We start from the raw sequence: 25,950 nt of genomic DNA on the forward strand, positions 1-25,950 counted from the left end.
AAGGTTATGCATGTTTCGAATTTTGTGTTGTTTTTGTTTTCCTGATTATTTTTAAAATTTCTTATTCATGTATAAATTTGTACATAACTCCAGATAAGTAGAATTATAATTGAAGGGAGAGGCGGTAATGTAAAGGAAGGTTATGCGTTTTTAGAATTTTGTGTTGTTGTTTTTGTTTTCCTGATTATTTTTAAAGTTTCTTATTGATATGTAATATTTGTACATATGTATGGCGTACATGTGATATTTCAATACATGCATAGAGTGTGTAATGACCAAATAGATGACAGATATCATAGCATGTATAGTACAGCATTTTGTATGCTTATGGGAACACCCAGTTGAGAGGGAAAGAAAACTTGATGTGTGGGGTAGGGTGAGACTTTCTAGAACAATGTCTTTTCATAGTCTACAGAAAAATGGGATGCAGTGCACAGGTGAAGGAGTGAAATTCAGGTAGGAGCTTATTCATTGGAAGAGGAGGGAAAGCAGGTCTCTAGGCACAGGAACAGATAGGTTGGTAGATTTGGTGTCAGATGTTGACATTTCCCATTTTTTTTTCACTGAAACAAGAAATTAGGTCAGCTGAAAATGAAGGAAGGCTCGGGGGTCGGAGGTTTGAAGGAGGAAAAAGAGTAGGGGAGCAAATTGTCTAAATAAATGATTTTTGGGCAGACTTGAATACTTATTTCAAATAATATACTGCTTAGTTGTGGGTTTTTCTTCATTTACATTCAATTGCTTGGGTGAAGGTGTAGATAAATGAAAGGTTGGAAGTAACTAGAGTCAAAATTTTCCCAGGCAAATATGGTAGAGGGAAAGAGCACATAGGAGGTGGTGCTCATAAAGTAGGATAATGGGAATTGTATTTTTTAGAGGTACAACAGGTATAACTGTACATGGCTGAGGTGGGGCAGAGCATAAGCTCACTGGAGGTAAGGAGATAGAGGAACTGAACAGTATTAACACAGATAAAAAAGTTTACTCTCTCCCTCTTCCCCTCCTTTTTCCCTCCACCTCCTCCTCTCCTCTCCTGCCAGGCTGAGATTGTGGGCAAAAAATTATTAAGCCTTCTGCCTGATGAAGAGAAAGATGAAGTCTACCAAAAGATTATTCTCAAATTTCCTTTACTAAACTCAGGTATGTATATTTTTAAAAGTAGTAAATTCTTAGGTTTTAAGGGACAAGTAACAATCGCTCAATGGATTAATTTCTAAAAAGATATTAGAGCACATACGGCTGTTGATCATATATTAATTTACTTTTATATAATATTACAAACTCTATTTCTAGTGTTAAAAAAATCTCTCCTCCATTAAATCTTATTCCTCACCACAGACCCTGAGTATTGTAGCATTTGTACAATTGCATTAGTGCTATATAAATGATGGACCATTGTATATAGCGTTCTAGCTGGTGCCCTACTCTACTGATACAACATAGCTAGCTATGTAAGTGCTAATGTTCGTGGAAAGAAAATAATATTTTTGTAAAATCTAATCGAAGAAAGACATTGGTCATATGAAATAATCCAGTAGAATATGGTAAAGTACAAATGTAGACTTGTTTTGTATTTCTTCTCTTTTTACTAGAAACACATATTGAATTTTGCTGTCATTTAAAAAGAGGAAATGTCGAACATGGTGATAGTTCTGCTTACGAAAACGTGAAATTTATTGTGAATGTAAGAGATATTTGTAATGGTAAGCAGTTCTGTTTATCTTATCTATATGACATTTATGAGTCATGTAGCCTCACATTACTAACATAAATGCTCTTCTGCTTGGTACTTGCAAACTGTCTGATATCCCTATGGCCACAGTTTCTGACTACTCACATTACTTAGACTTTTAAAAATTAACAGTGAAATTTACAAGGTGGGGGACACTGAGTTGTTAAGGATGGCTCTTTCTTTTTATAAAACAAGGAAATGATTGCAAAAATATAACAAAAGAAGTTTAATGCATATCCAAGCTTAAAATAAAGGGGACTCTGTGGGTCTATGTGTACCAGAAATTAAAGTTTAAAGCAGTATGACAGTGGTAAGAAGCAGCTGATTTTGTGGTGGCCTCGGTGGATTTTAAGTCATGCATAGGCTCCATTGGCTGGGGTCGGGAATTCTAACACCCAGTCAAGCACCAGTATATAAAACCTAGAGATCAATGAAGTGATCAATAAAGTTCTGTCCATTGACCCAGAGGAATAGTGAGTAGGTTTATCATCTCTCTGGGAATTTGAATGGACAAAATGTGCCATTTACAAGAAACCAAAACCCAAATTTTTGTCGCGTGTGGATATAGGGTCCATTTTACAAATTTTGAGGTTTCAGAAACTGCAAGCTGAGAAATTAACATAAATTAATTAATATTAACTGGTTTGGAGCCATTAAAATATCTGGGACTTGAATCAGAGGTAAATAGCCCAAATAGCTAACAAATATATGAAAAGATACTCCAACTCACTAATAAGCAAAGAATGAAACATTTAAAAACCAGTGACATTAGCACTCTACACCCATCAGAATGGGAAAAATTAGAAGTTTGAATAATACCAAATATTGATGAACATGTGAGAAATGAATAAATAAATAAATGAAATTAACTCACGCAAAAGGTGGCTGATATATTTGTCATGATTCTTGGAAATTAAAAGTCATACCTTTTGAAAAAATCTTACTTGACTCTGTGTGCACAGATTACACACACACACACACACACACACACACACACTCCCACACACTCTACCCATATGGTCTATATAAAAGAGAGGAGCCACATCTCTTTTGGAGACTAAAATATCCATCCACAGGGTAATAACGGAAGACTGAAAACCAACCTTAACTCTCAATATTTGATTCTCAGTAATAAATTCTTTATGTTTTGATGGGGAGGGTGGCTGAAAAGGAAAGAAGACAGGAAAAATCCCATGGCTCAGAATTTTGAAAATTGTCAATGGGTTAGCAAACAGCACATGGATGTGTCAGGTATTTGTCTTCTTGTTTAACTGGTCCACCTTTCTGTTTTCACATGTGTGTCTATCTTCCTTAGAGTTTCCTGTGGTCTTTAGTGGCTTGTTTTCCAGCCACCTCTGTGCTGACTTTGCTGCATGTGTTCCTCAGGAGGATCGGCTTTATCTTGTGGGAAATGTTTGCATTCTCAGGACTCAGCTCCTGCAGGTGGGTATACTGTGTTTGTGCTTCCCCCGCTGTGGCGATGTGGGCTTCCTTTGAAGGGTCACTTCCCCTTTGGTCTGTCAGCCACTGGACAACATTGCTAAATTACTCAGTGTGTGCAGAGGGTTGTGCTGGGATATGTAAATAAGGAAAATCAGCTCCTATGTTTCAGAAGGTGAACATCTCAGTGAAAATTTAGACACACTCGAAAGAGATGCACAATCATTTACAAGTAGTCTTGACATAATATAAAATATTATAAAATGTAGGTGCTGGGGACTGGAACACATGAAGAGAAATGAGCATTTTGGCAGGTAGATGAAGGAAGGCTTCTTATACTACGTGAGTTTTGAGGCAGCTCCACCACAACCCCATTGGGTAGCTGATTGTAAAGGCTTCTGCTCTCTTTGTGTTCTCTAATATAGCATTCACAAATTCTAGCTCTAAAAAGAATTCACTTTGGAATTCATCTGATAGATTCAGCTTCCATTAATTTTTCCATTCAGTAACATATATAGTAAGTACCTACTGTGTTACAGGTACTGTGCTAGGTGCCAGAGAGACATTAGGGGAGATAGACAATAGCTAAATAATATTGGAAGGTGCCCTGAAGGATGACAGAATAATGTGCTAATGACTAGTGCGGGTGGGGAGTTCAGACAGAGTGGTCAGGGAAGGTCCTTTTCGGATAATTTGTCTTTTGAGCAGAGACCCCTAGGGATGCTAACTAAGAAAGGAAGGCAACGCAGGTAGATGGTTCAACATCTGTAAAAGACCTAAGGTAGTAACTAGCTTGGAGAGTTCCAAGTAACAAAGTAAGTTATGTGACCAGAATAAGGTGAAAGGGGGAAGGAGCAGCAGAAAATAAGATCCAATAGATAGGCAGGGGACAGATTATGTAGAACTTTGAGATCCATGGTAATCAGTTTGGGTTTTATTTCAAGTGCATTGGAAAGCAGGAAGGTGACATGATCTGATTTTCTTTTTTAAAGGTCAGGCTGAATACTGGCTGAGAAATGGAGTACAGAGAAACAAGAACAGAAGCAAGAATACCTAAGTGAAAGATGATAGGGGCTTGGACTATGATTGTAGTAATGGAGATACAAGTATTCTGACTTGGGATGTATTTTGGAGGTAGTGCCCTTGCTGATGAGTTAGAAGTGTCTAGGAGAAGGGAGAGAAACATCTCGTGGAGGATTTTTAGCTTTTTGGCTTGTGGAACTCAGCAAATGGAGGTGCCATTAACTGATTTTAGCAAGACTGGGACAATGTGGATCAGGCAGTGTGGGAGGCTAGAATCAAGAGCACTGTTCGGGCCATGTTAATATTGTGTTGATGTTACAACATAAAACATCTCCAACTCATTACCTTATAAGGGAAGGCTCTGATCCAGATTTCCTGTGTTCAGATCCTTTCCCTACCAGCTCTGTGACCTTGGCCAAGTCACATCCTTTAGCCTCAGTTTCTTTTTCTATAAATGGCAGTCATAGTACCTTCTATTAGGGTTGTAAGGAGTAAATAAGACAGTTTCTCCTATATGGTAAGCACTCAGTAAATGTGAGCTATTACAGTTGTTGTGATCATTGTTATTACTGTCATTATTACTGCCAGTGATCCAGAGAGGGCAACATGCTTGCTTTACTTTTCATCTCTGGTTTAAAACGTGGGCTTTTCAGACCACATTTTAGAAACTGTGGAGGGGGCCTTTACATTCAATTTTAGAACAAGTAATATATGTCATCATTTCTTCAAATTAAAGATGGTAAGAAAAGTAGTATAGAAGAAAGGCAGTTTAAGGAAGTTGCCTAATTCAGTTGCCCCATTCATTATTCCGTCTTTGTAGCCCTCTGGGATTTGAACTGTCACATCTGCCATGAGAATACAGACATCCCATTTTGGAAGTCAACCCCAGTAACTACTTCCTTTTCTGAGAAACAGAAAAACATCTGATTTGGCCCAATACCTTGGTAGCCCTTACAGCACAAGGAACTCTATTTGTGTTCTAGTCCAGTTTCTCTCTGGGTTTATAGGATGTTTGTTCCATATTAGTGGACATTTTGGAGAAAAAAATCTTGTGCAAACAGGCGGGCTTTTGGAGGAAGATTTTTTTCACAGCGTGACTGTGTAGTACAGTGGGAAGAGGGATGAACTCACAGTTCAAACTTTGAAATTCTGCTCCTGGATCTACTAGCTCTATTTCTTGGGTCAAATCATTATATCTCTAATCCTCAGTTTTCAAATCTGTAAAACTCCAGTGCATTTCTCACATTGATATGCAGATTATTTGTAACATTGGATATGAGCATGCCTCCAAAATTAATATATGCTGTGCATTTTTACTATTTATATACATATTAAATGTCTAAATATTTGAATTTTTCTGCAGCAACTTTACACTTCAAAGGCAGTCAGTGATGAAGCTGTACTTACACAAGATTCAGATGAGGAACCTTTTGTGGGAGAGCTCAGGTGAGAGGTAGTATTGATAAAGCTAATGAAGATCTAGAATTCAATTTTACTAAACGAAACTAAAACAAGAGAAATAACACCTACAGATATTTTTTTTCCCATCAAAATGAAAATGAAAAAAGAAACAAACGGGCCAGGGATGGTGGCTCATGCCTGTAGTCCCAGAACTTTGGGAGGCTGAGGCAGGAGGATCCCCTGAGCCCAAGAGTTTGAGACCAGCTTGAGCAACATAGTGAGATCCTATTTCTACAAAAAATACAAAAAAAATTAGCCAAGCATGGTGGCATGTGCTTGTAGTCCTAGCTATTTGGGATACTGATGTGGGAGGATCAGTTGAGCCCGGGATATCAAGTCTGCAGTGAGCAGTGATCATGCCACTGCACTCCAGCCTGGGCAACAGAGTGAGACCCTGTCTCTAAATAAATAAATAAAACCAGAATAGCAGTCTACTAGTCTGAACTTCCTTTCCCAGCTCATATAATTCACATTTTTCCAACAGAATGTAAATACAGGTGATTGGCTTTTTATTTTTTATTTTTTAAAAAAAGCATTAAAGCAATAAATAGAGAAAACTTAACTGACCCAGGCATGTAATGACTTTCAAATTAAGGTAATGCATTTTAATATACTACTTCATTACTTTTTTTTCTTGAAAAGAAAGGTAATGTTTAGACACTTTTAAATGGTAGAAGAGCAAGTATGCATTGTGGTAACTGCTAATTATACAGGCATTCCTCTTTTGTGAATCTAATGTGTTCTTTAAAATTTGTTTACTAACACATTTTCAGAGAATAGAAGCAAATATTCCACTATTTCACGTGAGAAAAGTAAAAATATATTCCTAACCCCCAGGAAAATGCCGATTAATTTGCCAGATACCACTAAAACCCCTTTATAAACTTATTTAACAACCCACAAAGGATTTCTGTAAAATATAAATTATTTATAATACTATATAGTTATTCAGCATTTGATAAACTCATTGTTTGGCACATTTGTATGTAGTAAGCCACAATAGCATACACTATACAGTGTCTAGTATTGGGAGGGGATTACATTTTCCTTCTACGTTGCAGTGTACATGTACTGGTAAATAAATAATGAAGTAATATATTAAATATATTAAAGATGTGCACTGTATGCCAGTAATATTTAGCAAAATAAAATAAGCAAACAAGAGAACTTTGCAAGAGATTTCTTGGGATCAAAGGCATGCTTGCATGAGGTCTGATGGTGAGAAGAGTGAGCTGGAAGCTGTGGTCACGGTTACTATTCGGGGGCAGGAGGAGGTAAGGAAGCCAGAGCTGGTGAAGGAATGAGTTAAACAGGAAATATTTGAGGCTCATCTGGATTTAAGAGAAGGCAGGGAGAATCTTCCATTCCCATCAGAAGAGTACAGAGGTGATTGGTTGTCAACCTTTAGCTGATGCTACACACAGAGCAGTGGGATGAGAAACAGAACTCATGGTGGCTAGCTATTTACATCCCCTTTGCTTGATTAAAAATTCTTGCTAACATAAAGCTGCATTTGTATTAATAATTGTGTAATTGTGTGTTGAATGTGACAATGTGACATGTCTGCTCATGCCATGATCACATTTATTTGTACCAGCATGCTGTTTTTATGGAATCTAATTTTTATTTTTATTTATTTATTTTTAAATTTTTATTTATTATTTATTTATTTATTATACTTTAAGTTTTAGGGTACATGTGCACAACGTGCAGGTTAGTTACATATGTATACATGTGGCATGTTGGTGTGCTGCACCCATTAACTCTTCATTTAACATTAGGTATATCTCCTAATGCTATCCCTCCCCACTCCCCCCACCCCACAACAGGCCCCAGTGTGTGATGTTCCCCTTCTTGTGTCCATGTGTTCTTATTGTTCGGTTCCCACCTGTGAGTGAGGACATGCAGTGTTTGGTTTTTTGTCCTTGCCATAGTTTGCTGAGAATGATGGTTTCCAGCTTCATCCATGTCCCTACAAAGGACATGAACACATCTTTTTTATGGCTGCATGGTATTCCATGGTGTGTATGTGCCACATTTTCTTAATCCAGTCTATCATTGATGGACATTTGGGCTGGTTCCAAGTCTTTGCTATTGTGAATAGTGCCGCAGTAAACATATGTGTGCACGTGTCTTTATAGCAGCATGATTTATAATCCTTTGGGTATATACCCAGTAATGGGATGGCTGGGTCAAATGGTATTTCTAGTTCTAGATCCTTGAGGAATTGCCACACTGTCTTCCACAATGGTTGAACTAGTTCACAGTCCCACCGACAGTGTAAAAGTGTTCCTATTTCTCCACATCCTCTCCAGCACCTGTTCTTTCCTGACTTTTTAATGATCGCCATTCTAACTGGTGTGAGATGGTATCTCGTTGTGGTTTTGATTTGCATTTCTCTGATGGCCAGTGATGCTGAGCATTTTTTCATGTGTCTTTTGGCTGCATAAATGTCTTCTTTTGAGAAGTGTCTGTTCATATCCTTCGCCCACTTGTTGATGGGGCTGTTTGTTTTTTTCTTGTAAATTTGTTTGAGTTCATTGTAGATTCTGGATATTAGCCCTTTGTCAGATGAGTAGATTGCAAAAATTTTCTCCCATTCTGTAGGTTGCCTGTTCACTCTGATGGTAGTTTCTTTTGCTGTGCAGAAGCTCTTTAGTTTAATTAGATCCCATTTGTCAATTTTGGCTTTTGTTGCCATTGCTTTTGGTGTTTTAGACATGAAGTCCTAGCCCATGCCTATGTCCTGAATGGTATTGTCTAGGTTTTCTTCTAGAGTTTTTATGGTTTTAGGTCTAACATTTAAGTCTTTAATCCATCTGGAATTAATTTTTGTATAAGGTGTAAGGAAGCGATCCAGTTTCAGCTTTATACATATGTCTAGCCAGTTTTCCCAGCACCATTTGTTAAATAGGGAATCCTTTCCCCATTTCTTGTTTTTGTCAGGTTTGTCAAAGATCAGATAGTTGTAGATATGCGGCATTATTCTGTTCCATTGGTCTATATCTCTGTTTTGGTACCAGTACCATGCTGTTTTGGTTACTGTAGCCTTGTAGTATAGTTTGAAGTCAGGTAGCATGATGCCTCCAGCTTTGTTCTTTTGGCTTAGGATTGACTTGGCAATGCGGGCTCTTTTTTGGTCCCATATGAACTTTAAAGTAGTTTTTTCCAATTCTGTGAAGAAAGTCATTGGTAGCTTGATGGGGATGGCATTGAATCCATAAATTACCTTGGGCAGTATGGCCATTTTCACAATATTGATTATTCCTACCCATGAGCATGGAATGTTCTTCTGTTTGTTTGTATCCTCTTTTATTTCATTGAGCAGTGGTTTGTAGTTCTCCTTGAAGAGGTCCTTCACATCCCTTGTAAGTTGGATTCCTAGGTATTTTATTCTCTTTGAAGCAATTGTGAATGAGAGTTAACTCATGATTTGGCTCTCTGTTTGTCTGTTATTGGTGTATAAGAATGCTTGTGATTTTTGCATATTGATTTTTTATCCTGAGACTTTGCTGAAGTTGCCTATCAGCTTAAGGAGATTTTGGGCTGAGACTTCAGCAAAGTCTCAGGATATTTTTATTTTTTATTTTTTGAGATGGAGTCTCACTCTGTCGCCCAGGCTGGAATGCAGTGGTGCAATCTCGGCTCGCTGCAACCTCCACCTGCCGGGTTCAAGCGATTCTCCTGCCTCAGCCTCCTGAGTAGCTGGGATTACAGGCACGTACCACCACGCCTGGCTACTTTTTATATTTTTAGTAGGGACGGGGTTTCACCATGTTGGTCAGGCTGGTCTCGAACTCCTGACCTCATGATCCGCCCGCCTCGGCCTCCCAAAGTGCTGGGATTAAAGGTGTGATCCACTGCGACCAGCCAGAATCTAAATTTTACGTGAATCTTCAGTGTTTTATGTTTGGCTCCTAGGAGTGGGGAGCACGTGCACGACCAAGCTTAAGACTTCTAGCCAGTCTCTGAATGTGCTTTATTGCTCCCAGCTTTTCTTGTAGTACATGGACTTCAATAGGCCTGTTAGTCTTGCCCACTTCCTTCATTAGTTTCTCTAGTTTCTTAGATGACCTTTTACTGAATAATGTGGAACGTAAGATACCTACAAGACAACATGTTTAAACAACATGAACTCAAGTTTTGCTATAAGGAGAATGACTGAGACACAATAGCAGCACACTGACATGCTCTTGTCTAGGCATGCATGACTTAAACATATTCTTGCATGCACCCTAAAACAGATTTATTTAGCAGGTTTGGGTAATGAATTTTGTTTAAAAACTAGCATATCAGTGTAGCAAATATTCAGATAGTGAGAGTTTAGAGAACAAAGATACTCATATTTTATTTAAAGGTAGAGTTTAATTGGATGAAAAATATTCTGATGCAGCAAGGAGCCAGCTACCACATCTATGCCGTAATCTTCATAAGATACATAATAAAAGTGTTTTCTGAAGGCTTAAAATTATATCATTTCTAATTTTGTAAGAAATTATGACTCAAATGTGGGTGAACGCACACTCTTTCCCCTAAAGTTCAAAACTAGACAATGGATTGTTTATCATGTAGGAAGTAAGATAGAAAATGACACTTAGGGAAAAAGCGGATGCATTTAATGAAGAAAAGTCTGATTAATTCCAGACTGCTTGTCCCTCTCATATCCCTCCCTCCTCCAACTCCATGGCCACTACTTTGGCCCCAGTCTCTTCAGCTCTCATGTGATGGATTGTTGGTGGACCTGGCTGGCCCACTAACCTGAACTCTGTAAGGCAGGACCTGTCACCCTCACCCTTGTCTGAGCACAGAACCTGACAATGAGTAGGCAGAAGTGACATCTGCTCATTAACTGATTGGTTACTTGATCTTATCAAAATGGTAATACATTCCGGGCCATGAGATCTCTCAAACATTATGCAGTATTGTTAGAAAAAAAGTGCAAACCAGTACCCTATTGCTTGATTTTTTCATAGACTTGTCCCTTGTCCCCATGATATTTTCAATTAAAAAGGAGAAGAGATTGCATCATATCAGGGTTGTAATTTTTAGTTATTAATAGTCTGGCTTCCATTTTACCCTCTGGGGGATAGTTAGAAAAGCAATTGTTCACAAAGGTCGTAGGGACCCACAGCTCCCAAAATGTTTCCCTTATCTTGGTAATTCCATTTTTTAAGATTAAGAAGCATCCTGCTAAGTTTTCTCTATGCTTATGAAGGAAACACAAAGGTGGGAATTTGAAGTATTTAGAAGAAAGGGTGTATTTCCACATAGAATGTCCTGTTTGTGCAGGTTTAAGATTTGAGGCTTAAAAATCTTTCATTTCAGGAGAGGGCCTGAACAGCTGGGGTATTTTTCATTGAGGCTACAGGTGTACCGGAGTGGAAAGTCTTGCTTTCTTGGACTATTGAAGGTAGAAAGAAGTAAGGGATTTGTGAGTCAGTGAGGGGCAGGCAAAAAAGTGAATACTGAGTAGCCCTCTGCTGTCTTGCTACTGCTAAGAGTCAGAAGTAAGCAACTAAGGTACTCTTTGGATTTGCCCAGTTGCATGTATTGGTAAGGCCCAAATTCCTATCATAGCATCATCTTTTAACACAGTGCAATTTGTTCTTTATACTTCATCATGTTATTTTATGTTTATTAACTCAGTTATTTTCTACATATCTATAAGGTAGATTTTAGACTCATTGTACAGGTGAGAAAGTGCACTCACAGAGGATGTATGATTCACCCAAACTCACACAGCTGGTTAGGCAGTATAGCTGTATTTGGGACCTAAGTTATCCTGGGCTGCATTCCACGAGGACACCAGTTTCAGGAGCTGTGGCCGGTATGTGATTCAAGGGAGAAAACTCAAGGAGTCTTTGGAAAGTATGTGACCAGGGATGTTACTAAGAGAAAACATTTTTCTTTTTAATTTCACCTTAAACTTAGAGGGAGGAGAATATACCGATTAGTTAGCCCTAATACTTTTTACAAAGATGGCACATTTTCACCCAAAAGTAAAGTAGAAAACACTGGAAAATCAAATGATGAGTATTTCCCAGGTTCTAGTAGCTGTTACCTGTGCTTGCAAAGTCCTCAGAAACTCTGCTATAGGACTGGAATTGGTCCCTGGGGAGACTCCATCTGTCAGCAACTCCACCAGAAAGAATGTTCCTGCCTAATTCCTCTTTCAGTGAAGAGACACCTTGTACAAAGGTGTGGGGAAAATTTTGCAAAGATGTACAATGGTCCTAGTTAGTGAGGTTTTGTTGTACCGAGTCTTTTTACCATACTATACTATACCGTATTGACTCCATTCCTTATGTCTGTCCCATCTTGAGCAGAGGAGGGGCCTTGCACATCATTGTAAATGTGGCTAGCATGCCTAGTCTTATCACTTTAGTCCCAGTGAAACTTATTTATTCATACAGAAAATAGTTAGCATCTGCTATGTGGAAGTTTCTGTTCCAAGATTTAAGGATATGGTAGTGAGCAAAAGTCCTTATCTTCGTGGTCATTACATTCTGGTGGAGGAGAAAGATAATAAACAAGTCAATAGACTATAGAGCAGGTGAGATGATGAGGGCCAAGGGAAAAAAAATTGAGCAGTGAAAGGGGTATAGGGAATGTTATTGGGGGGAAGTTAAATACTACTAGATTTTGAAATGGCATTTTATAGGTTAAAAATGGAGTAATATTGGCAATTCCCTGTGGTTCCTTTGTGGCCAGAAAGGGCCTCAACAAGCAGGTGACTTGAGTTAACATCTGAAAGGAGTGGAGGAGCAAGCCTTGTGGATTTTGGAGGAGATATTCCAGACAGAAGGAAGAGCAGATGCAAGGTCCTTGAGGCAGAAGTACATGGCAGAAGCATATGTTTGAGAAACAGCAAAGGAGCCAGCATAGCTGGAGCAGAGTCACCAGAGAGGAACATTCAGAGCATGCAGGGCCTGTGAGCAACTGTGAGGGAAGGACCCAGGATCGTGTCAGCTCGACCCTGCCTTGTGGAATAGCTCCTGCTAGAGTCATTCACCATTATTTCTCTTGTTTTTCAATGCCGTGTGGAGACTCAGTCAACACTACCTGCTCTCCCTTTGCACGTTACTTGGCTATTTCTACTAATTCTACTCTACTAATTCTACCTATCACCTTTGGCAAATACTGTGGAGGTCTTGTAATATAGTTTTAAAACAACATAAAATTAGGATTTTTAAAAACTATAATGCTCAGGTTTTATTTCTCAGTTTTGCCATTTACAGTTTGTGTGATCTTGGAGAAGCCTGTTAAGTCTTATGTTCTTTATCTATAAATGATGAAGATAATTACTGCAGAATGGGTGTGAGGCTCAAATAAAAAAAAAAAGAAATAAGATCTATATGTTTTGTAAAATACTATGCAAAGTCAAATTATTATGGATTAGAAAGTCCTTCCAAATATGGAGTAATTATAATTTAACACTATAGTCCTTACTAATCTATGCAGACACCATTAACTACAAAGGGCTACCTGTGAACATAGCAGACAGTCATGATCTGAAGTTTGTGTCTGGTGATTTCTTCAATATTCTTTTTATTTTTCTATAAATTTAAGGTAGTTCTTTTTTTTTCTGCTTAAAGCCAGTACATTTGAAACCTCCATACTGAGATGGTACTCTCTCCATGAACAACCGAGTCATTCCATGAAGAGCATCCATGTCTCCTTGCAGGGTGAAGTGGGTGCGGCCCAACTTTGAATATGATGAAACTTCCAGCTTGGAGGCCACATACAGCCAGATGACTCTGTGCTCCGACACCCACCAGACAGATACTCACATGCTGACACCTGGTGTTAGCAGATAAGGAAAGGAGTTGGGGCTTTTCAGGCTTACATCCAGGGAAAGAACCCTTGAGCCCATTTCCACGCAGCTGTATTTGTTAGATTTGAAGCCAGCCCCTTGGTGTACATTTAACTAATCATATTAGTAGCATGTACAGGGTCTGGTCCTTGAAAAGGACAGACATCAAAAGACACAGGTAGAAGGGATAGCAGTCTCAGGATCCTGGGTTTTATATATCATTTTCTTTATGATGTGATCTCTAGCCAACCCATACTCCATCTTCAGCTACATGACAAATTATTTTGATCATCTAAATGCATAAAATCATTAAACTATTAGATTTGCAATTGATAAGAGCAGTTTTGTTGTTAATATTTTTTGAAAAGCTCTGTGTAAGGGTTTGTACTAAAGACTTATTGAAGCAGCACTGAAATTACTGAGGTTTAGACACTAATGAAAAAAGTCTAATAAATATAAAAGTTTAAAAAAACTGGGACAAATTATCTGATATATTTGCCTATTTTATGAAAAGCAATTTTAAATAAATATTCTCACAGCTGCATATTCTTCTCAAGTAATAATGTTATTTTTTTCTCACAGTATTCATTTGCCATTCCACAATATAGTTGCCCAGCTTGTGTGTTGGTCATCTGAAGATGTGGAATGGGATTCATCCAGCTCTCTTTTCACTTAATGATTTTGGCTTTACCTCTTTCTTATCTTGAGACATTCTTTTGCTTTAGCTCCATTGCCATTTTTAAAATTTCTTTTTATTTTTTAACTTTTTATTTGAATATTGGCAGGAACTATATGTGTCCTCTTTTACCTATACTCACAACTTTTTACAGCTTGCCCCATTTGCTTTATTATCATTCTCTCCTCTTCTCTCCTTCTCTCAACTTCTCCCCATCTTTTCTTCCCTCTCTCTTCTCTCTCTCTTCATATAGATAGATATTTTGTGTGTGTGTAATTTATTATAAACTGTGGAGATACACCTCTATTTCTCAAATACTTCTATGTATTTCCTATGTTCAAGTTTATTATAATACATAACCTTAGTATGGTTATAATATCAGGAATTTTGGTATCTGTGGAATATTATTATCATCTATTCCACAGTCCATATTCAAATTTTGTCAGTTATCTTTTGTAGCTTTTTTTTTGGTATAGGATCCAATTTAGGATCACGATTACATTTAGTTGTCATATGTCTTTAAACTGGAATAGTTTCCCAGACTTCCTTTGATATTCTTAACTTTGAAATTTGTGATGAGTGCAGACTAAATATTTTATGGAATGTCCCTCCATTTGGGTTTGTCTGATGTGTCTTCTTAACTAGAGTCAAGTTACGCATTTTTATCAGGAATACCACAGAAGCAATGTTGTATTCTCAGTACGACATATCAAAAGATAGATGGTGTTGATATTTCTCATAAGCTGATGTGAACTTTGATCACATGGTTAAAGAGATGTCCACCAAGTTTCTCACCTGTAAAGTAAAATTTCCCTTTGTAAATTTTAAGTAACTTATGGGAAAGTACTTGAAGACATGTAAATATTCTGTTCCTCAAGAAATTTTTACCCACTAGTCTTAGTACCTGTTGATAATTTTCTAACAGCATCATACCTTCTACATTTATTGGTTGGCATTTTGGTTAGGAAGTTTCCCCTCTGCCTCATTAATTGAATCGTTATTTATTTATTCACTGGCTTATAATATACTACTATTATTACTTATTTTAATGCTCACATTGTCTCAGAATTGGCCAGTGGGAGCCTCTTCCAGCTGACTCATCTCTTTTTAATGTGCCCTGTCATTCTTTGAGCATCACCCTTACTACCTGGCACAAGACTTTTCAGGTTCATTTTGTATTTTCTCTGCCTCAGAGAAATCAGCCAGTTCTCTAAGTCTTAGTCTGAGCAACTCCAGCTTCTTTAATCAGAAGTATTTAGAAACCAAGATCTAGGCATTAGTTCTGGTCATCATTACTTGTGTGCCACTGCTTTTAAGTGCTTTCAGAACTAGGAAACAAATACACATGTACCTACATATAAAGATACATATCTATATGTATGTGTACCTTTGTGTATGAGTGTATATAAAATAATACAAATCATGAGTTCATAGTGATGCTTCAGATTCTAAGCCAACACCATAGGGTTCATTCTAGTCTTCTCATTTCTGTATTTGCAACACTCTTTTCCAATAGTCACAAAGGCCTGGCCCCACTGTCCTCAATATAGTTACTTACTTGCTCAAATATCAAATGCACAGAAAGTAGTTTCAGGGTTGCCAACTTATGTCATTGCAAAAAGAAAACCTTCTAAATTGAGTTTAATAGTATTTACATTTGTAAAGTAAAATTTACATGTAGTAAAATACACCTATCTTAAGTCTATCATTCCATGAGCTTTGAATGGAGAAGCCCGTGTAAACCTCATTCCTGTCAAGATGGTACAGTGTACATCATGGTGGCTATGGTTAATAACAATGTATTTTATGTTTGAAAATTGTTAAGAGAGTAGATTTTAAGTGTTTTCACTACAAAAATGATAAGTATGTGAGGTAATGCTTGCATATTTTAAATAGCTTGATTTAGCCATCCCGCAGTGTATACATATGTCAAAACATTATATTGTACACCAGAAATACATATATAATTTTTACTTCTTAATTAAAAATTTTTAAAGATATACAATGTTTTCAGCACACTAGAAGCCTTCTTTGTGCCCCTTCTCTGTCATCCTCCCACCTAGAGGCAACTGCTATTTTGAATTTTTTCACTCTAGATTAATTTTGCCTTTACTAGAACTTCATAAAAATAGAACCATACAGTATATACTCTGTTGATTCTGCCTTCTAACCCAGCATAAGTTGTACGTATCAGTAGTTCATTCTTTTTGTTGCTGAGGAGTATTCTATTGTATGACTATACCACAATTTGTTACGTATTTTCCTTTTGATGGACATTTTTTTCTAGTTTTGGATTATTACAAATAAAGCTGCAATGAACGTTCTTTAAAAAAAGTCTTTCTGTGGATATGTATTTTCTTTTTCTTTCTTTCTTTTTTTTAATTTGTTGAGAAATTTCTCGCTCTGTCGCCCAGGCTGAAGTGCAGTGGCGTGATCTCAGCTCACTGGAACTTCCACCTCCCAGGTTCAAATGATTCTCCTGCCTCAGCCTCCTGAGTAGCTGGGATTACAGGTGCCTGCCACCAGGCCTGGCTAAATTTTGTATTTTTAGTAGGGATGGGGTTTCACCATGTTGGCCAGACTGGTCTTGAACTCCTTACCTCAGGTGATCCACCTGCCTTGGCCTCCCAAAGTGCTAGGATTACAGGCATGAGCCACCGTGCCCAGCCTGTATTTTCATTTTTAAAATTATTTCTTAAACAATCTATCTGTTAAATTGTGCAGTAAATTTTTTTTTTCCTCTTGGTATACAGTTCTGTGGATTTTAAGAAAGCTATAGATTCATTCAACCACCACCATAATCAGAATACAGAACAGTTCCATCATCCCTCAAAAAACTTCCTTGTCCTGCCTATTTATTGTCAGCCCTACCCCACCTCACCCCTAACCCATTTCAACCACTGATCTATACTTCATCCTTATAGTTTTGTGTTTTTGAGAATGTCATATAAATGGAGTCATACAGTATGTAATCTTTAGAGACTGGCTTCTTTCTCTCAACACAATTCCTTTAAGATTCATCCGAGTGGTTGCATGCATCAAAAACTTTTTACTGATGAGTTGCATTTCATTGTAGGTATGTACCACAGTTTATTATTTCACCTGCTGAAGGACTTCTGTGTTATTGCCAGTTTTCTGGCGGTTATGAATAGTACCGTGATAAACGTGTACAAGATTTTGGTAAACGTGTTTTCATTTCTCTAGGGTAGATAGGAATAGAATTGTTAGTACATACAGTAATTGTATGTTCAACTTTATAAGAAACTACCAAATCCTTTTCCAGGGTGGTTGTGCCATTTTGCATTCCTACTGGCAATGTATGGGAGTTTTTGTTTGTTTTTTGTTTGTTTGTTTGTTTTCTGGAGACAGAGTCTCGCTCTTGTCCAGGCTGGAATGCAATGGCCTGATCTCGGCTCACTGCAACCTGTGCCTCCTGGGCTCAAGTGATTCTCCTGCCTCAGCCTCCTGGTAGCCGGAATTACAGGTGCTCACCACTACGCCTGGCTAATTTTTGTATTTTTGGTAGAGGGGAGGTTTCACCATGTTGGTCTCAACCTCCTTACCTCAGGTGATCTGCCCGCCTCGGCCTCCCAAAATACTGAGATTACAGGTGTGAGCCACCACACCCAGCTTGTATGGGAGTTATTATTGCTTCACTTCCTCCTGAGTGCTAGGTGTTGTCATTTTTCAAAATTTTAGCCACTAATAGGCACACAGTGGTATTGAATTATGGTTTTAATTTGCATTCCCCCTAAGGACTAATAATATTGAATATCTTTTCATCACTTTCCATCATTACATCTTTGACAAAGTGTATGTTTGAATCTTTTGCCTAATTTTAAAATTTTGTTGTTTGTTTTCTTACTGAATTTTGAGAATTCTTTTTTCAGTTTCATTTTTTATTCACAAAATATTTTCTCATATTCATTGCCTTTAATCTTTGCAACATCCTGCAAACATTGTTCTAATATTAATTTTGCAAAGTCAGAGCAGTAAAAATTAAAAATGTAGTCTCCAAAGCTAACAGTCTGGGTTCAAATTCTGGGTTTGTCACTTATTGCTGTATTAACTTTAGCAGCTTGACTTCCTTGAACCTTGATATCCTCAACTATGAAATCATACTCATACAAAACGATCATTCTCAGCAAATTATCACAAGGACAGAAAACCAAACACCGCATGTTCTCACTCATAGGTGGAATTGAGAAATGAGAACACTTGAACACAAGGCAGGGAACATCACACACTGGGGCCTTTTGGGGAGTGGGGGGCTGGGGGAGAGATAGCATTAGGAGAAATACCTAATGTAAATGACGAGTTGATGGATGCAGCAAACCAACATGGCACACGTATACATATGTAACAAACCTGCACATTGTGCTCGTGTACCCTAGAACTTAAAGTAAAAAAAAAAAAAAGAAAAGAAAACAATAACAACACTTACTGAGTGCTTACTGTGTATCAGGCATGGTTCAGAGTATTTTAAACACATCTTAACTCATTTCGTCCTCACCACAGTCTATGAGTTTTGAGAATTCTTTATGCATTCTGGATACAAGTTATTTGTTCAATATTTGATGTGCAAGTACTTTCTCAAGTCTGGGGCTTCTATTTTCATTCTCAACAGTGTATTTTGCAGAACAAAGGGTTTTTATTTTAAGAAAGGAATATTTTGTCATTTTTTTTCTCTGATAGATTGCTTTTGGTGACATGTCTTAAGAATTCATTACCGAACCAAGACCACATAAACTTTTTTTTTCCCAAAAGTTTTATCATTCTGGATTTTAAGTTTGTATCTACGATCTACTTTGAGTTACTATTTTTATAAGGTGTGAGATTTAGGTCAAAGTTCATTGTTTTTGGTATATGGATGTCCAGTTGTTCCAGTATCATTTGTTGAAATATGATGTTGTTACCGTCCTGCTCAAAAACTTTCGGTGCTTTCTCCATTGCACTTGGAATAAAATCCAGACTCCTTTTGTATGGTCTGTAAAGCATACTGCTTTCATGCCTACTTATTTCTGAAACCTCATTTTGTGTTGTATTCCCTTTTGTCTGTCAGACTTCAGCCTCCCTGGCTTCTCTTTTCTGTGAATTCTCAACACTCTTTTCCAGCGTAGAGCCTTTGCACAAGTTTGTGTCCTCAACCTGAAATATTTTTCCATTATGTTGTTCAATAGTTGCCTTATATTGGTTCCCCTAAGTTTATTTTTTATTCTCTCCCCTGGCATTCTGCCCTTTTCCTTAATCATACTTATTACAATTTTTAACTTTATAGTTATCTCTAAACTAATCACTCATTGTCTGGATTTCCCATGAAACTGTAAGATCCATGAGACTGTGTTTGCAGTGCCCAGTACTGTGCCTATCCTCATAAAACTTGCTGTCTAGTGCTGAGATGTACAACGAAACGAGAAACTACAATACTACAAGAAACTACACCATTCTGCATACATGCCATTTAAGTTCATTCACTATTTCTACATGGACTAAAATGTTTTTCCCCACTATATTTTGTATACCTGAATCCTTCTCACCCCTCAAGAAACAGTTCCATCTTCCCTCTCTGAGAAGTTCCTCCTGGTGCCCAGTTCGGAAGAGCTCTTCCTCCCTGCTTTCTACTCTCGTACTGACACTCTCCACTTTGCCTTGAGATCACAGAGACTGACTTAGCTCTTCTCCTAGAAAATCAAAAGCTTGCTGAGAGTGGGATTGCATTCAGCTTGTGTCTCCCTCAGTACACAGACTAGCTCATTTTATTCAATTAATTCATTTTCTGATTTCTAGAATACAGTCATGTGTTTAGCTATGGGTCCATCTTGCCATTGGAAACTAACAGAGCTGATTTTCAGAACAAAAAGAGAAAACAAGGCCAAACTTCAAATCATATCTCATATTTGCACAGCCAACACAGGCCATTAGAGTTTTAATAAATAGCAAAGACATAAAACGTTTTCTTTTAACATATGCTGGGACTCGACTGGTCTCTTGTTGCTTTATTTCCCCGCCTGGCTCAATAATAGTCCTATAAAAGTGACAGAAAAACCATATACCATGTTACCTTAGAGGGATGACTGAGACAGTTACAAAAATAGGAAGACTCAGATGCCAAATAAAACATGGGATGTTTGGCAAAACCTTAGCATGAACATATGTACCTAGTCCAGGCGCTCTGAAGTTACTGGATGTATTAAAAAGAAGTTGGTCCTGCCCTGTTTTATGATGTAAAAGTGTGTGTGTGTTTGTGTGTGTCTTGTTTCATTGAAGTGAAAGCAAATCATTTTGACTGAATAGTGACAAATATTAATTCATAAAATAGTTTTTAGACTGGAAAAATATTTGATAATGGATCCAAATATGAAAATAATGAAATATAAAAGTCAATATAGTACCTTACAAACTGTAGAAATTATATCTGAGCTGTCAGTTCTAGTCCTTCAAAAACCCTGTCCTCTTTGAGTGAGAGATGCATCCCTATAGAACATCCTGTCCTCAGTTGGAAGGCTTGGCCTTAAGGGCTTATTAGTTAGTGGGAACAGAGCAAACTTTCTTTATATCTTACCACACAGTGCTGGTCTTAGTATAGTCTTGTGTCTGATTTATGAATTTCTCCTGGAATGAATTTTCCACAAATATATGATGGGGAACTGTGTAGCCTTGACATTCATTCTGCCCATGAATGTCTTTAGTGTTAGCAGCTGGCATCCAGGCATATTCCAGTGACTCACCAACCAAAGCTATATGTTGCCTTCTCTACGTTTGAAAAGGGGCAGGGGGCGGACCACAGAACACTAATCAGATTCTAAAGTTGCCTTCATGTTTACTTAATATTTCTACACTGCTCAGAGGAAGCCAATATCAGCAATATTCTTTTTGAGATGACAAAACCTTGAAACTTTTTTGGTTATTTTTATAGCAATAGAGTTTTTGTTGACTTAGTATTCATTTTTCTGTTTTCTCTTTATTATTTGACATTAGGGCAACTCTTACCACAGATTAATTGCTCTTCGGGGTACATCAGACTAAGATTTCTACCATGTTGATGATTTGTGTTTACTTTTTAAGTGTGATGAATATTGTGTATTACTTGTTTTTTTTTAATTCTGGTGAGGAAATACCACCAAGTGCTGTTCGGTGTTTTTCCTCTTTTGATGTGTTTGTGGAAAACTGGTGTAACCAAAAAAAAAGCACATTAGAGGAGTTCAAAATGGCCCTTTAGAGAGTGCTGATTTCTATGAAATGGATAGATTTTTAGTTGTATATTAGCAGTGATTTGAAGCAAGTCTTTACCATACAGCTAAAAGAAGAATTGAATTTTCTTAGCTATGCCATAAAAGTAATTACCTGCCAGATAAAAGGGACCTCATGTTATAAATAGTAGAAACTCAACATTTTGTTTTAAATCTTCATTTTCTAATACGTGAAATTATCTGAACTAATCTATATGGTGTAGGTTCAGTTATGTATCAGCTTCAGATATATCAGTTATATATATGTTAACCCACAAAAAGAATATGATTTTGAAAGCCATAAGAATCCATATCTGTGTCTCGTACAGGAAAACAGGAAGGCTGAAATGGAAAGATGCTTATAGACCCTAACTCATTGTCTCATGAAAGTCAGTCCTCTTCATGCTATGGCCAGGGAGCAGTGAGGGTTGTGGTGCTCAGGATAGGGAATTGGAGAGGAGAAGGGTACATTATTTCCTGAGTCATCTTGTTTCACTTTCTGCCTATCTCTCAATCCCAACACACACCATAGACGTGTGCACACGCGTACTTACACACACACACACACACACACACACGCGCGCGCGCGTATACCAGACATTTTCCTTCCCCATCCTTTTAGGCCCTGAAGTAATAAATTACTCTGCTGGAGAGGACGGGTAAATTCAAATAGCACACTCCTTCCATTCAGAATATCTTAATGAAATATCATACTTTTCCCCTCACATCAAAAAAGACAGAACTTTTTGTGACTAAAAGTTAATTTCTTAAGCCAAAAGAAAATTTCTGGAAGCAGTCACTCAGGAAGTTTCCTAAAACATTTATATGCTAAGATGGTAAACGATGGGATTTGTTGTCCCTTTGTTAGCAGGAAGGCATGATCTTGAGCAGCTTCAGGTCCATCAAGATCTTTCCCAAGTGAGAACGCAATGGGCTTTTCTGGCTGTAAGTTGTCCATTGCCTCTGCTGTCATTGGAGAGAAAGAAACCAATCACCTGCTCGTGTTTTTTCAAATTACAAAATCCATTCTTACATTGTAAAAAAACAGGCTGCTGCTGATTTTGGCTCACAGGCCATAGTTTGGATCCCTTATCTATTCAGTATACTAAGTATCTGTTCATATCAATATATTATTCTTGATTATATGCAATGACTACATTCTTGATTATAGTCAATGGATATATTCTTATTTTCAACATTTTAAGGAATGTTTAATTTGTAAAAAGTTAAAAGTCACAGAATGGTTTACCATTCTTATGAATAAAAACAGAATTTCAGGATTTCATATGAATGTTTCTAGTTCATGCTAATTTAATAATACACTTTTAAAGAATGCATTTTCTAATTTTTCAATGATTTAGCATGTTTTCAGATTTTATCACCAATATCATCAAATGACTTATTTGCCAAATTTACCATTTTCCCCAAACTTATATCTTTGAACTCTGATAAAACTTAATGACTTAGAGTGGATTGAAATATTTTAACAGTTTTTGAAGATACTTAGGATATATTGTGCTTGGCCAATTTTTCTATTAACATTTTAGGAAAGGTTCCATTTGTCTGTACCCCAGGTCCCTTACTGCTGCAGCTGAATTGAGCAGGGGACAAGAGAGGGGAACTTGCAATGGGGAAAAGAAACAAAGGAGAGCCAGCATCCAGCACAGCTTGGGCTTCCAACCCCTGAAGTTGGGTTGGGAGGAAACTGGAGTCCATGAGAGAAGGAAATGAGGAGCTAAGCAGGTGTCTGAAGCCCTCAGGACTCTGAAATCCTTCCTTCCAACGATAGTCTTAAACTCTGCCAACTCAGCATACTGCAAATTTTATGAATAGCTTAAAAAAACAGGTTTTTGGTAAATCAGTATATTTGGATAATTTGACAGATTGTTACTTTGATTCATGTTCATTCAGTCCATTTGTCTCCTGGCAAGTTGGCTTTTGGAAAATTTCCTATTAGCAGATTGACTTGGGAAGTTGGTATGCTTCCATACTGAAAAGCAGTGGCTTTCCAGAAGCAAAACTAAGAAGGAGCCAGGAGTTGGTCAAGATTGCATCCTTCCTGGAAACAATAGTGTGCACAAACTACCTGGCAAAGTTGGTAATAGCTCATAGGTATCTGCAGTTCATTCTGTGGGGGATGTTAGTGGGTTAAGCTGCGGTGTGAATATACAGTGATGGAATGGATCTTAACATATGAGCCTATCGATTTCAAAGACATACACATTTTGGTAATAGAGACAAATGGAGGCATCACATGCCTCTATCAAAACATTTCATGTACCCCATAAATATATACACCTACTATGTACACACAAAAATAAAAATAAAAAATAAAAGTAAAAATAAACAAATTAGGGCATATTGGACGTGTGACATGACAAAATCAAGGCATTTCTGGCTGGGATTAAACAAAACTAGAGATTATTTTACTACTCCCTAGTGGTGACACAACTATTGCCCTTACTGGTATAAGGAGTTAGCAGACTGGGTTCATATTCTGGCTTTGTCACTTACTGGTTGTGAACTTATATGTTATTCATGTTATAAAGCTTTATTTTCCTCATCTATAAAGCAGAGATGATAACAGAGCATATGTCATTGAGTTATTGTAGGATTCAGAAAGGTAATATGTGTAAGATACAGACCCCTGGGTAGGAACTTGGTAAATGATAGTGTCTTTTCTGTCAGTCAGAGATGAGATTGGTCGTGGGTAGGGAGTATGGTTAGTTAGCATTTACCTTAAGATTATTGAGGGTGATGATGAAGCATTCACTTCAAGTTACTGATATTCTGAACCGATCCAAATTACATCCATTGACTATCTGCCTTTAGCCAAGGTTCCTAAAATGAACTAAATTCATCTTCAAATAATGTAAATCTATTAAGACGACTATCTCCAATTATTTATTTAATAAAAGGTGGCTATATTGAAAGAGAAGGACCTATCAAATATTTAGAAGGCAGTGTAGTTATTTTGTATTCGGAAGGATCAGGATTTGTACATTGATTCAGAAGATATTTACAAGTGTACATTGTATGCAGAGCCCTGTAGCCACAGAACACGCTTCTCTTCTCCCCCTCAAAGGAGGGTATTGGTCTAGGTGATCTACAGCAATAGCAACATTCCCAACTCTCTCAGTGCAGTTTCAAGTCACAAAACCCAGGCTCTTGATCCCTAGTCTGCTCATCTTAACACTAGAGCACCTGCTTCTTGGCTCCAAAGGAATAGAGAAATGATAGTGCATGCAGAACTCATCTTGCAGGAAGACGTTTTCTAGGAGAGAGAATTAAAATTACAAAAGAACAATTGTAAAGCAAATTACAGTATTATGCCTCTCAAATCATATAGTTAAGTGGAATAGAAACTTAGAGACATAGGGTGGTCAATGAAAGAATGGCTAATGAGGGCATTTGAACTGACCACACTTATGGGGACTGTACAGATTACAACGTAATTTTTCTTTTTTTTTTTTAATTTTTCAGAATTTTGTTTTCACTTTTTGCATGTGGAGTTGAGAAAAATATTTTTCCAGCTTTATTTAGGTATAATTGACCAATGTTGAGGGTATGTGACCCCAGCTTCTGTTCACCTTCCATGGCTTGCCTAGAATACTGAATAAAATAGTGGGAGGCTGGGGCAAAGAGAGGCTGTTTCAGGCTTAATTCCCAGGGAGCCACTTAACAGGAATCCTCTTCTAAGAACATAATGACTCTTCAGGAGAGGTGGGCTTTGGAGCTGCTAGTATCTAGTTATCAAGGATGGCTGAGATGCAGTTGGATTTGAAGGAAAAGATGATACCTGATCCTTGACTCAAGATTTTACATTTCAGACAGGGCATGGTAGTGGGCTTCCTCTGAGAGCCTGTAGACAAGCCTTGGTTAGAGTAACCTTAAAAATTAGCTCCATAAACTTTGTTCATAACCTGCAACCAAGAAGGGAAATCTGGTTTTCTTTCCCTCCATCACTTCAGATTATATCATCTCAGCTGTAAATTAAGTAGGGAGAGACATTTAGGATTATATTTTTACTGTCATCAGTTTCCTGACTCTCTGCCACAACTGTTCAAAACACACCTTAGTTTGTACTCCATTGACGTATGAAAGGACAGTATTCATTTGACATCTTTTTCATATTTACAGTTTCATTTATACAGCAAGTAGAAGTAGATGATATTTTAAGCCAAGAACAACCTTGCATTAAAGTAATTCAGCAGTGTTGAGCACTTTACCAATGGATATCAAACCTCGGTAAAATATTTAAAATGAAGAGAGAGAAGAAACATGAAGGGCTCGATTTAAGAGTAATATTTTGAGATTTTACATAATGAGACAGAGGTACTTTTCTTTGTAGAATTAGGTGTTATTTTTACGTAACTACAACTGGCAAAGTGTTCTTTGATCTTTCTCCTTATTTTTAAAAATTAAGTGATACAATTTGGACAAAGAAAGTTGTGCTTGTATCTGTTCCTAACCAAAGGCCAGCAGTGGATATGGCTGCAAACCCTCTGTTACATGTTATATCCCATATCCTGAGCCCAAACTCATTATTTACATGCACAAACTAGTTAGGTATTAA

The 25,950-nt window shown here is 37.5% G+C and overlaps 1 protein-coding gene across 2 annotated transcripts in view; it reads left to right on the top strand.

The window, feature by feature from the left end:
* Positions 1–25,950, top strand: part of PASD1 (PAS domain containing repressor 1) — a 113,065-nt gene that overhangs the window by 56,215 nt on the left and 30,900 nt on the right. For both annotated transcript variants that reach the window (NM_173493.3, XM_011531102.3), the window contains exons 5-8: positions 1,041–1,140; positions 1,593–1,703; positions 3,048–3,175; positions 5,559–5,641. In NM_173493.3, coding sequence (NP_775764.2) covers positions 1,041–1,140; positions 1,593–1,703; positions 3,048–3,175; positions 5,559–5,641 — 422 coding nt within the window. The remainder of the gene's footprint in view (positions 1–1,040; positions 1,141–1,592; positions 1,704–3,047; positions 3,176–5,558; positions 5,642–25,950) is intronic.

This window comes from Homo sapiens, chromosome X (genome assembly GCF_000001405.40).
Source record: "Homo sapiens chromosome X, GRCh38.p14 Primary Assembly".
In the NCBI taxonomy this organism is placed as follows: Eukaryota; Metazoa; Chordata; class Mammalia; order Primates; family Hominidae; genus Homo; species Homo sapiens.